General features: G+C 42.8%; 1 protein-coding gene across 10 annotated transcripts in view, besides 1 other annotated feature; it reads left to right on the forward strand.

Moving 5' to 3' along the window:
- SYT9 (synaptotagmin 9) overlaps positions 1-13,311 on the forward strand; it is a 230,266-nt gene that overhangs the window by 60,814 nt on the left and 156,141 nt on the right. For all 10 annotated transcript variants that reach the window (XM_011519902.3, XM_047426379.1, XM_011519901.3 and 7 more), the window contains exon 2: positions 3,448-3,799. In XM_011519902.3, coding sequence (XP_011518204.1) covers positions 3,448-3,799 — 352 coding nt within the window. The remainder of the gene's footprint in view (positions 1-3,447; positions 3,800-13,311) is intronic.
- Positions 8,251-8,400: an enhancer, noted in NCBI's record as "active region_4359". NCBI's record gives its function as "activates an Ori minimal core promoter by ATAC-STARR-seq in GM12878 lymphoblastoid cells {active_cell/tissue: GM12878}" and the evidence as "EXISTENCE:reporter gene assay evidence [ECO:0000049][PMID:35858748]".

A 13,311-nucleotide genomic window follows, 5' to 3' on the forward strand; every position in this document is an offset into this window, starting at 1 on the left:
ACAGGCCACAACCCGCACAACCATAATTCAAGGTAGACGTAGCAGATAGTACAGGCCTCCTCAGATGGGCTTCATCACTTACTGAATGCCTATTGTGTGCCAGGAACTCTTTTAGATTCTTGGCAGTCAGTGTTGAGATGGACAAGATCTCTGCTCTTCTGGATCCCCCACGACTGGACTTCTGAGCAGGCTGTTTTGTGAGTGCATGAGCTGTAGTCAACTAACAGGCTGGAGTTGTTCTTAAACTGGGTCAGGGGTCCTATGGTTACTAGTTAAAGTGAGGCAGAACTTCAATTTACTTAGCATGCTATCTATGCCAAGTGAATCCTGAGAGGTCACGTTGTACTAAGCTGATGAGTTCAGAGGTCACATGGGGTTCTTAAGTTTATGATGACCCTACATCCTAATTTTCCCTGGACAATCCTAGGTTAAGTATCTTATCCCCATGTAATTATTAATATAACCCCTTTTCTCTCCTAAAAGTGTCCTAGCTTTGGACAGTAAATTATATGATCACACAAATTACCTTTTTTTTTTTTTCTGTGCCAACATCCCTTCAAAATCCTAGTGACTTAATACACTAAATATTTAGTTTTTGCTAATGGATCTGTGGATCAGCTGTAGCTTTGCCCCAGGTTGTCAGTCAAGTTTAAGTTTACTCCTTATTTTGGACTTTGGGCTAATGCCACAAGTCTTCTCATTATGGCAGTCAGGCTGGAAGATCAGCTCTTATCTGAGAGCTCTTTTCTCATGCAGAATGTGGGAGCACAAGGGACCTTTGCTTCAAGGTGGCATGGGCCATATTCACTCGTATTTCATTGGCCAGAGCAAGTCATATGCCCAAGACCAACACTGGGGATTGGGATTTATGCTTCTCCCTTGGAGAGGAGCCCTGTGATAGGGCAGAGTGACTAATAACACAGTTATCTCATCACATTCCTAAATCCTACGGCCTCCCAGTGTGCCCCTTCTCCAGCCTTTGCTGGTGGTGGTCTCCTAGCAGTGTCTGTGTCAGGACAGAGCTGAAGTGATTAACAGAATGTAGAGAAGAAGTTTTGTCTCCATTTAGACTACAGAATGTATTAAGAGATTTCACTGCTATGTGGAGCCTATTTTGTGTTGGAGAGGGCGGGGATTGATGTTTGCAGCCTGATTACCTGGGACAGGGTTTCCTCCTTCGTGGTCCCCCAGCACTATCACCCATCACAGAAGTCTGCACCAGCATATTGTCTACTCTCCTGTGTGAGCGGTCAGAACCAGGTGGACTCCGGGGTCAATCCATGCCCTCCCCACCTCATGTTGGGCTCTTTGAGGTATAGTTCCTAGCCCCTTTTACTTTGACCCCACTGACTCCACTCCCTATCCCCCATCCCTGCCTGTTGCTCTGCACCTGGGATTTTTAATTTTTATTTTCTCTCAGTCTCCCTTCATTTGCCTGTGTTAAATGTTCAACAGTAATTGGCTTTTCTTTTAAAACAATTCCAGATATTCCTCAAAGTTCCTGGTTAACTGATGAATTGATGATGCCCTTTCTTATTTTCCATTGCTTATCCCATTTCTGCGGGATTTGAGGAGACAAAAGTGAAAAAGATTTGCAGAGTTACCCATATTGAAACTTCAACCCCAGTATTTTCAAACAGAGATATAATATTGTTTCAGTAGAAGGTGAAGATTGATTGGGCGGCAAAGAGGAAGTATGTTAAATCCATCAACAGTCCTGGCAGCTGGCTTTCTTTTAAGAGCAATTTTTGATAAACAGTTTTATCAATTCACAAGAATGACCAAGTACCTTCAGAGTCATATTAAAAAGCAGGTGGGTGGTAGTTGTTCAGCTTGACTCAGTAGGTAAGTGACTTGCAGGAGGGGTTCCCATGCATGCTTCAGCAGAAATACAGCTTTGTCACAGATCATAGTATGTTGGCAGTGCTGTGCATAGTTGAAATTGTGAGTACTATTTAGAACTCACAATTAGTCATTTACTAATTTCTAATTTTCTCCTTCGTTAGAATATGAATCTGTGAAGACATGGCGTGCGCCTATCATGTTCCTCATTATATCTCTAGAGCTTAGCGTAGCACTTGGCATGTAGTAGGCATTCAGAAAACTTTGGTTGAAGCAATGCAAATATTAATGATGGGCAGTAGAGGCAAACCCTGGGGAGAATCCTTGGGGCTCCAGAGTGTAATGAAGCACTGTAATGACAGGCAGGGTTGTCCTTTAAAATAAGGATTTTACAGCCACCATAATGCCAGAAATGCATTCAGATTGATGCTCAGCCTCCTTGGTTCTACTGTAGCCTGGGGCAGAAGCCTGGAGGGGGTGAAATGTTTTGAACCTTAGGGGCATAGTCACTGGATACTGAACTGCCAAGACTTGCTGATGCCATGGGGCTGTGGTCCATGATCCATGTAGCAGATGCTGTCATTACCTGCCATGTCCCCTTACCACTTCATTGTGTGCCTGTTGACCTCCAGTGCAGCCTCTGCATTGATTTCAGTGTGGGATTTTCCTGGCCACTGAAGCTTACTTTGTTCATCTGGGCTGCAGGTTTCAAATGATGGGAATTTAATGCCCTTTGAGAAATGCCCTCTAATTAATAACTAAAGAGAGCTAATGTGTAATACCTTGGATCCCTTGCCACTTAGGTGGGGTATATCTGAGGTGTATTAAGCCTCCATAGCAGGTTTAACCTTTACTCCCTCACTGTAGGAACTGGCTTGATAATGTACCTTTTATTGGCTTCCTTTTCTGGATCACTTCTCCTGTGTTTCCTTCTCCTTCTAAATAATGCTTTTCCCTTTAATACTTGTTTTAGGGTATGCTACTGGGGAAACCCAAACTACAATATTCTATCCTGCGTCCTGAGGACTTATCACTGAGTGGGGGTTGTTCTTGAAGCTGCAAAATTCACAGAAGATTTGAGCTTCATTTTGCTTAGAACCTTAAAAGTTAATAGGAAAAATAGAACCAAAAAAGCACTCTAGTTTCTCGTATTTTAAAAAGTTATGACTTACACAATTCCCCAATTATATTATACAGCTCTCTGAGATGACAGAATAATTGTTAAGGACATTTGAAACTGCCCTGCTCAAAAAACATTAATGATTGGTGCTGCCTGTAGGATAGAGTCTCATTTAACTTGAAGGGCATTCTAGTCCCCATGAATATATCCATTTTCTTGCCATAGCAGGCTGTTTATTGTTTCTAAACATGGCTTGCATGCTATGGTACCTCCTCTGTGTTTCTGCTCACTGGTCCTCTGGTTTGTGTATGAATTCTCATTGTCACCGTCCCAGAATTAAGTAACCCAGCCATGCGCCCCAGCATGGCCTTCCGCAGTCGGCTCCCAAGGGATGAGTGGATGAGAGGGTCATTCTGCCCACGCTGTGCAATGGGTGGGCTTGAGGGGAATGACCACACTGACCTTTGATCTTTGCTTCTTTGCAGATATCTCAGTGAGCCTGCTGACCCTTGTGGTCACTGCCTGTGGTCTCGCTCTCTTTGGCGTGTCTCTCTTCGTATCTTGGAAACTCTGCTGGGTTCCGTGGCGAGAACGAGGCCTGCCCTCTGGTAGCAAAGACAACAACCAGGAGCCCCTTAACTACATGGACACAGAGACCAATGAGCAGGAGAACAGTGAGGACTTCCTAGATCCTCCCACGCCCTGCCCTGACTCCTCCATGAAGATCAGCCACACCTCCCCTGACATTCCCCTCTCCACCCAGACGGGGATCCAGGAGAACTGTGCCCATGGCGTCCGCGTGCAGCGCCAAGTCACAGAGCCAACCTCGTCGGCCCGGTCAGTAATGCCTTCTCCTTTCTGAATGCAAGGAAGGACCACCCCATTCCCCTCTCTGGCAACAATAGCACTGATAGGTCAAGGAGCCTGTAACCTTTTAGATTTCTGTTCTGTATCAGAGACATGAATATGGGAAAACTCCATGCTTCCTACGCCCTCCTTGGTCTCTACTTAGTTCATAAAAATAATAGTTAACATCATTAAGACAGCATGTGTGAAGTACTCTATAAGAACTTTATATTCATATTTTATTATAGCTCACAACTTAGCATGAAATGTATACTATTATCATTCTTATTTTACAGCAGAAGAAACTTAAGTCAAGGCGATTAAATTTTTTAAAAAGCTGTATATGTAAATACCCAGGTCAGGATTTGAACCCTGGCTCAACCAACACAAGAATCTGAGCTCTTAACCACCCTTCCCTGCTGCCCTCCTACTGCTTTAGAATTTATTCCCTGTGCATCTGACCTATCCTAACAGTCACACACAGGCTCTCTTCAGACTCCGCCGTGTGGCTGGAGGTCTTTGTCCGTCTCCAGCCTTTGGAAGGCTTACAGAGTACCGATACCTAGGTCACTCTCTTTTCATTGTCTGGATGCTTTATGCTCTTCAGCAGTAGAGAAATAATATAATGCAGTGAAAAAAGATGCGGTCTCTCAAGTCAAATGAATTGGCTTTACTTACATGTGTGACATTGAACAAATTACTTAAACTCCGTATCTGTCCATTTCCTCTTCTTCAAAAGAGGAGTAGATAGTACTGATTTGTAGGTGGTTTTAAGAATGAAATGATGACATGTGCTTGCACAGGTCTGGCACCTGGTAAATGTTCCAAAATGTGAGCTGCCATTTTGCTGTTAGTATTGCTATTATGGCCTCTCCCAAGGCTCAGATGTTGCACAAAAGTGTGTTTGAGGCTAAGCAGCCAGTTCTAAATCACTGGATATAAAAACTCATTTTTGATAAGATATTTCAGGAAAAGAGACTCAGGAAGCAGCTTTCTTTAGAATGAAAATATTGGCCTGAGTGATGGCCAGAGAAATAGCATGTGCTGTTATTTGGAAGGTATAAACACAATTTGGAGGTATTTTTTAAAAATATTTGCTGTTTGTTCTCCAGAAACAGAAATAAGACTTTACCCTTTTTATGTTAATCGAGTTTATCCTAGAGGCTCCACTCATTCTCATTAAGTGGGATGGAATATGCCAGTTTCTAATTTGATTGTTTCAGAAACTTATTTTAGCATCATTTTCAATTCTGAATCAAAGAGCCAAATCTAAAATATGCCTCTGTGAGGAGATGGGTAGTTGTCTGCCGTTTGATTTAGAAGAAATCCTCAGATTTTATCACTAGGATTTATCTTCAGATTTAAAACTTAAATATAACTAGAGCTCTATTTGATGCTGTCATAGAGTTCATGCAATGTGCAGACTTATAATAAAATCCTTTCAGTATTTCAATAGCTAAAGCCTTTTAGATAGAGTCTCCATTGAAATTTCCATTGAAATTGCCCCCTATTTGGTTCTACTCTGCATGTAACTTTTCTGGTCTGAGTTCCTCCAATATATGGTGGTAGTACTGTGATCTTGCTAGATTTGATCTGGGGACTCTGCCATAATTCTAACAAACTGATAGCAATGATGCCACTATAATTATCACAATATTTATACTGGGAAAGTATATAAATATACTGCATAGCAATAAGGATTTGCTTAAAAAATAACTGTTATCACTACTGATTTGTAGAAATTGGGTAGAAGGAAAAAAATTAAAAGGGAGAGTGAAGGAATTATCCCTGTAAAATGCACTTTGTGTTCAGATTTATTTTAGTTTTGAAGGCATGCAATTACATTATCTTTTCTGATGGCAAAAATCAAGTTTAGCAATATCTGAACTACTATAAGAAAACTACTCTTTTCTAGCTGCATTTGACCTAATACTGACAATTTGCATTTTTATGCATTTAAAACATTCATACCTAAGTTACTACTGACCTAGTTTTATGGGGTCTGTCTGGAAATATATATCCTTGTCTCAGGATCTCACCACAATAAGAGCAGTACATGGTCTTCTAATTCTTTGAGGATTGTGTTGCATCATGAGAAAATGCACACACACATACACACTTTTTGCTAACAAAAAGGAAAAAGAGAATGAAATTTCCTTTATGCCTCAAAGCATTTTTAACATTCTTCTTTAACATTTTCGATACCCATATTTGGGGAGGGGAAAGGTAAGCTTTGCTGAGAAAGCTCTAAACAGTCTGCTTTTCCAGTTACTGTTTCTTCTCTTTTCTTTCTCATTATGTTCTTTACTTTCTCCCTGCCGACACCGTCTTACTGCTTCCATCCTGCAGCCATTATCACCGTCTCAGGACAGCCATGATCACAGTCTCAGGGTTCCCAGTGCACGAAAGACACAGCCTCCATTTAAAGGTGTCTTCAGGATCCTTGTGATTGGCACAGTTTCTGTCACACCATTGACATCAAAAATCTCAACCTCACCTGGCCTCTTCGGCTTGGATGTGTTCTTGGATATGTTTGGCTGACACAGTGCCTTTTTGAAATGTCCTAAAGATGGGCTTTGTTTTATCTTCTAAGAATGTTTCTGGTCAGAATGACTTTCTGTTGTTCTTTCAAGATCAAGCATGTTCGGTGTCTAGTTTCTTCAGTGACTATTAGTACCATCCAAAATTCCTGTCAATTCTTTTTGATTTGAATGAAGTCCCTTTTGTACAGTGACTCAATATGCTGGAAATGTGGATGTTTCAATTTTCTCAGAATTTTTTAATTCCAGAGCTTTATAAAGTTCTCTACTCCAAATGTATGAAAATCCCTGGATCCCCAAAATAGAAGGAACCTTGAAAGGCCATCTAATCCATTTCCTGATTCATGTCCTAAGATGAAAGTTCATCCTATTTTTCTCAAGCCTTCTCAAATGTCTTATGTAACACTTCAGTTTTTCAAAAATTTCAATTACCACACCACAAACCCCTTATCAGGTCTATTAAGGCCCTGCATTTTAATACTGCCACAGTCTGCTTCCAACAGCCTCACCTTATGGCCAAGGCCACCATGTTGCAGAACCCTAGGGGACTATTTTAACATGAACTCAATAGGAGACTGCCTGGAAGAAGCTTGTTGTACTGCAGCTGCACTAGCCTCTCTCTTAGTTCCTTCAGCATCCCAAGCCCCTTCCTGCCTTGAGGTCTTCACACGTTGTTCCCTCAGCCAGGAATGCTTTTCCTTTTTTTGTCCTTCTTGGGACCTTTACTTCCCTTACACCCTAGCTGAAACATCACCTTCTCAGAAAGTTCTCCCCGGCCACTCCATCTGAAGTCTGTGTTCTGTCCCCCACTCCTTCCCACTTTAATTCTCCCTCGCATTGCCTTGTTTTCATGCCTTCACAGGATTAAATTATTTTAAGTGATTCTTTATTGCTTGTACTCCCCTCTAGACTGAGTTCTGTGAGCTCAGAGACCACATCTGTTTTGTTTCTTCCTGTCTATCCAGCCCCTAGCACCACCTGGCACATGGAGGACTTTTTTCCATGAATGACTGACAGAATACATTGGTCAATATCAGGCCACTTTTCTCATGCTCTTCTGACAAGAATGACAAAGGGCCAGAAGTATAAACTGAGCAGAGCCTGTAATAATGGTGTGAGGCTGGCGGAAGGCCATTTGTCCCAGGTCTCACATTCATTAAGAGCCCCACATTAGGTTTTTGACCTTACCTCTGAATTAAGCAATCCGTAGAGTTACAGAAATATGCTGACAGAATTGAAAGAGGAAGATAACCATCACACTCTAAATTTAGGTCCCATGACTGGCCACAACTCAAGTAAATAGTACACAAAAATTGAATGTAATTATACTATGAGTAGCACATTTCTATTAAGTTATATTTTTGTGTGGTGAGAACATTGGTTCAATGTAAACATCTAAAACATAATTTTTGAATTATAGTTATTTCTTCAGATTTAAATTAACTGCTTCAAAAGTGGAAGTTGCCTAGACCTATCTCAACTTCCACGAGACCCCGAAATGATATGTAAATGAGTGTTTTCTCTACTGGGATTAAATTATCAGAAACTATTATATCCATAGCATTTCTATATTTACTCTAGACACAGATATCAAGCATTTGCTATGGCAAAATTCAATATTAGGTGGTGGCAATAAAGAGAGAAAAAATATATAACCATGCCCACAAAAGACCCACAGCAAGAGCACCAATTATACACACTGAAGTGCTCAATTTGTTCTTTAGAAGATTAATCTGGAAAGAATGCATAAGATGCATGGGACAGTGGTGAAGATTGGATGTATACAGGGGCCTGTCTGAGGGCCTGAACTCAGCTAGGATCAATGGGAATGAAAAGAGACATAAGACGTGAGCTACTGTAGAGAAAGTTTTGGTGAACAAAGGCTCATCTTAGTTATGGAGGATAAAGTATTCAAGGTTTCAAATCCGTTTAACTTTGGAGGGAGTGGGAGGAAGCAGGTCTTGCCTCAGTGTATCCACCTACCCTTGACAACACACCTCCACTGGCCCCAAGGCCTGATGCCTGTCTCGTCATTATCTCACTTATGCTGGAAACCCTTGAATCTTCAGCCCAAGAAAGCCTCAGATTTTCACTTCCTCCTGCCCTTGTAGTCTACTAACTGTGTCTGTCCCTATCCAGGATTTCCCCTTCTTCTGTGTCTGCCTGTGGTTCAGGAAAACCTAACTCTCTCTTCTTCATCACCAGGGGAGTTTTGAAGAAAAACATCCTGTCTCCACCATTTCCATAATTCCCTGCCTTGACTTGAACATAGGAAAGAAACCAGTAACATTTCTGAAACCACAATTTGCTTCTCTCTTTTTTCTCCTTGGATCCTGAAGCCTTGTAGACACTGGTGCCCGAGAACCAGGGAAAGGACAGGTCAGGTTTCACCTCTGAGGTGGGCCACTGCAGTGAAGGAACATATATTAGGGTGCACTTGTTCATGGCTTCACATGAAAGCCCGCGATGGAAGGGGTGTTGGGGATATGAGTGCTGGCTTGTACAGAGCCTGGACTCAGAGATGCAGTGGGTGTATATGAGGGACTCTAGAAAAAGCTGCTGGGGCAGAAGAGCTGAAAGTCCCATTCTGCTAGAGAGGTAGGACCAAGATGCAAATGGATTTAATGTCCTTATTGACGTCTACAGCATCCGCTTGAGGTGGCTAAGAATGAGGCCAAGTTAAGTAGGCAAGCCCAGCTCAAGTATCATCTCCTTCATAAAAGTTTCCTCAGCCAGAGGCCTTTCTCCCTCTCATCTTCTGGTGGGGGAACCATCTCATCACCCGCCTGGACAGCCATTTTCTTCAAGATGGTGACTACATTTTGCCTCTCTGCACCTTCCACCCCATTTGACACTGCTTTGCAAATTCGAATTTGTTGAATTGCCATTACGTCCTGTCTCTTAAGATCTGATCGACATAGTTGGCTTTTCGGGTGATAGTTTAGGGACTAACCTAGAGCTGGGACTAGTTAATTCACATCTGAGGAAAGGAAAGGAGGAGAAAACCTTGTACCTCTGGGATTCTGGCCTTTCCTGAACTATGGCTGCAACTCAGCACAAGACTCAGGTTTCTCCAGGCGTGAAAGTATGTTTTTGAGTTTGTTTTGGGAAATCTACTTTGCACATTTTGTTAATTATCTTTGAACTCAAGCTTTCCACAGGTTCAACTGCTATTCTTCCCACTTAGGTCTGGGGTAGCCAAGTCTAATCTTTATTTTCTCTTTGTTGTTTCTTCCATGAGAGGAAAACAGCTTTTGCCCACCCAGAGAGAGAATGGGAGGTGGATGAAGCTGAGAGTTCCAACCCCAGCAGCCAGCTTCTCTACGACAGCATTAGGGTGTGGCTTATTAGTAGAGGAGATCATCTCTCAACTTTCCTTCTGACCCACTGTCGTTGGGGTCCACTTTTTTTCATTCACTGTGCACATTAAGTCCTGAGAACACCAAAATACGGGACTCCCCAGACCTACTCAGAGGACTGTCTGCTTCAGTCACAGATCTCTCTTTGCCAAATTCCTACACTCCCTCAATGTCATTGTCCTTGTCAGTCAGTGGCTTTGAAATTCTAGACCCTTGCCCTGGGAGCCTCGCATTTACTGCACTCAAAACCACCTCCATTAACCATTTAGAGCCACCTCACCTGGGGTGGGGGAGGCTCAGGTAATGGCTCTATATTCCGTATCTTTCCTACCTCTTGCTTTGGGCTTGCGTTTTCTTCCCACCTCTGTTTGAGTAGCCTATGAGAACTATAGAATATTGATTTTCCATTTCCTCCACCCCCTCTTCTCCTTTACGCCCCTGGGGCAGTCTCCCTGCTCCACTTCCTTATTTTCAGCCCCCAGACCTCCAGAGGTTATACAGGGAGGTTATGAGTTACCCTGGTTCTCTGGCTCTTCTAAGCTTCTCTCTTCTTCCGTGCCTCTCCCCGAACTCCAGTAAACTCTAACTCTCTTCTGAATGGAAATTGAAAGAGATTGAAAGGGAGCCCCAGGAGTGAGAACCTGTCATGCCCAGTTACAGTCTTCGCTGTCTGCTTTAAGCCACTACCTTACAGTTAGATTCAACTGATTTCCCAAGAGTAAGTGTGATTCTGAATGGAGGGGAAAGTGTTGGGAATGAAATTATCATGTAAAATGTTTCAGTAGATAATAGTATTCATATCTGTGACTGGTTTTTTGTTTGCTTGTTTGGTTTTTGGTTTTTGAGTTTTTTTGAGATGGAGTCTTTCTCTGTTGCCCAGACTGGAGTGTAGTGGCGTGATCTCCACTCACTGCAACCTCTGCCACCTGGGTTTAAGCGATTCTCCTGCCTCAGCCTCCCAAGTAGCTGGGACTACAGGTGTGTGCCACTATGCCTGGCTAATTTTTGTATCTCTAGTAGAGACAGGGTTTTACTATGTTGGCCAGGCTGGTCTCGAACTCCTGACCTCAAGTGATCCACCCACCTTGGCCTCCCAAAATGCTGAGATTACAGGTGTGAGCCATTGTGCCTAGCCCATAACTGTGATTTTTTTTTTTTTTTTTTTTGAGACGGAGTCTCACCCTGTCGCCCAGGCTGGAGTACAGTGGCACAATCTCTACTCACTGCAAGCTCCGGCTCCCAGGTTCACGCTGTTCTCCTGCCTCAGCCTCCCAAGTAGCTGGGACTACAGGTGCCTGCCACCACGCCTGGCTACTTTTTTGTATTTTTAGCAGAGATGGGGTTTCACTGTGTTAGCCAGGATGGTGTCGATCTCCTGACCTCGTGATCCGCCCACCTTGGCTTCCCAAAGTGCTGGGATTACAGGCATGAGCCACTGCACCCGGCTTGTGATTGGTTTTTAAGAGGTCAGCTGTATTGGGAATTTTTGGAGGGATTCCTGTGCAATTGGGTTCTCAGGGAATGGGATCTTTCTTCAGTCTTTGAACTACATCAACAACCCCCGCCTCCCTGCTGGCAATCCACTTTGGTTAGGAAGAGCTGAGCATGTGGGACAATTTATCTTCAGATTTCATGTCTAAGAAAATGTACATGTAGAACAGAATATGTCACACTACTAAGTAGCCAAATCCATGTATTTTAAATTAAAATTAAAACTATGGTGGCCAGGCACAGTGGCTAACGCCTGTAATCCCAGCACTTTGGGAGGCTAAGTTGGGTGGATCACCTGAGGTTGGGAGTTCGAGACCAGCCTGACCAACATGGAGAAACCCTGTCTCTACTAAAAATACAAAATTAGCCAGGTGTGGTGGCGCATGCCTGTAATCCCAGCTATTTGGGAGGCTGAGGTAGGAGAATTGCTTCAACCCGGGAGGTGGAGGTTGCAGGGAGCCGAGATCGCGCCATTGCACTTCAGCCCCAGTTGACAACAGTGACACTTCATCTAAAAAACTAAAAAACAAACAAACAAAAAGCAAAACCACTATGGTAGATTTAGTCCTACAGACAAGGGTGAAGACAAAATGTTGCTGTGATGAATCGAATGCCAGTACTAAGAAAATTCAAAGGGAAATTGTAATGCACAGTCTGCCCAGCAACCATCTGCGGAGCAGCAGAGTGACAGGGCCTAGGGCTGACATGAGATTATTGTCTGGGACTGGATTGTGTAGACACAGAATTGTTGGTCCACCACAGACTCATCTGGAGGAGGAGCATCCAGTGGATATTGAGGATGCACTTTTATCATGTAAACAGCACCACTTACTAGACAGTACCCAGAAGGGTGGGAACTGATGCAGGACCCAATTATGGACATTTTTTGAAGAAAAAATGTTTCTTTTGTAAAGAAAACTCAATAGCAGAGGGAAATAGGGCTGGCACCAGCCTATTCTGACCTCTGCATATGGCAGGTTACTTTCTGCTGCCTCCCAGTCCTTTCTGCCCACAGAGTCCAGTAAAGTGAGACTCAAGCTCTATTCTAGCACTACATTGGTTCCACTTCTGGACAAGGGAGTGATCTGGCTGCACTAGCTCAGAAAGCCAGTTTTAGATGCTTAACAGCAACTCCTGCCTTCCCTCCCCCGCCCACCCACATCATAAAATACAGAGAAACCTTAAGAGTGTGGATTTCTCTAAAAGAGATTAAAATCTCCCTTCAGCAACTCTCAGATCACAAAGTTTTTGTGCATGTGGGAATGTATGTGACTGGGCTATGTCTGCTTGCTATGGACTGTGTTAGATGTGACAGGTACCAGTGACAGCTCTGTGACGGTACTCTTGTCATACCAGGTGGGTGATTAGTGATTAGGAGGCTATTTTAGGATAAAGAGGAATGCTCAGCATAACAATATCTGTGGTGACAAGGGAGAATACTTTCAAATGTGTCTGGGGGTCCCTTAATTCCATTTTTACGTCTTTATTTCATTGTCTGAAGAAAGGAAGAGAAGGGCAAATTCAAATGTTTACTCTGCCTCTCCAACTGTTTACCAATCCCTAAGAGACATCCCAGCTGTTCTCTTTCACCTTCTAGTAAAGAGGCTATTTTAATTAAGGTTGTTGAGCGAATGCATACAATACAATATAATGACTCTAAACTCTGAGCTAAAAACAACAAAAGTAACCTTAAAAACAACCTTGTATGTGATAACTACTTCTCTCAACTTGGGAAGACACACACAGATCAGACAGGCTTTAAAGAGAATTTTAGGGAAACTTCTAACCCAAACCAATACACTTACAGGGTGAAGAAGACTATACTACAGTTGCAAATATTTAGTTTGGAGTATCAGTATCCAGCCATCTCCAGTTGAATCCCTACATGCATTTATAGTAGCTCATCTTTAATTTTTGAGCCATTAGTGTTTATTTCAGAAATAAAACCTGTCCTCTTGATCACTAATCACCCATGTGTACAGCAAAAGCACAATCCCAATTATGTCACTTCTACCTGTCAGAGCCACCACAATCCACTGCATGCAGACACATCCCAGTCATATACATTTTTGCATGAGCAAAAGCTGTGTTCTTGTGATGAAATGATTTGATT

This window comes from Homo sapiens, chromosome 11 (genome assembly GCF_000001405.40).
Source record: "Homo sapiens chromosome 11, GRCh38.p14 Primary Assembly".
NCBI lineage: Eukaryota > Metazoa > Chordata > Mammalia > Primates > Hominidae > Homo > Homo sapiens.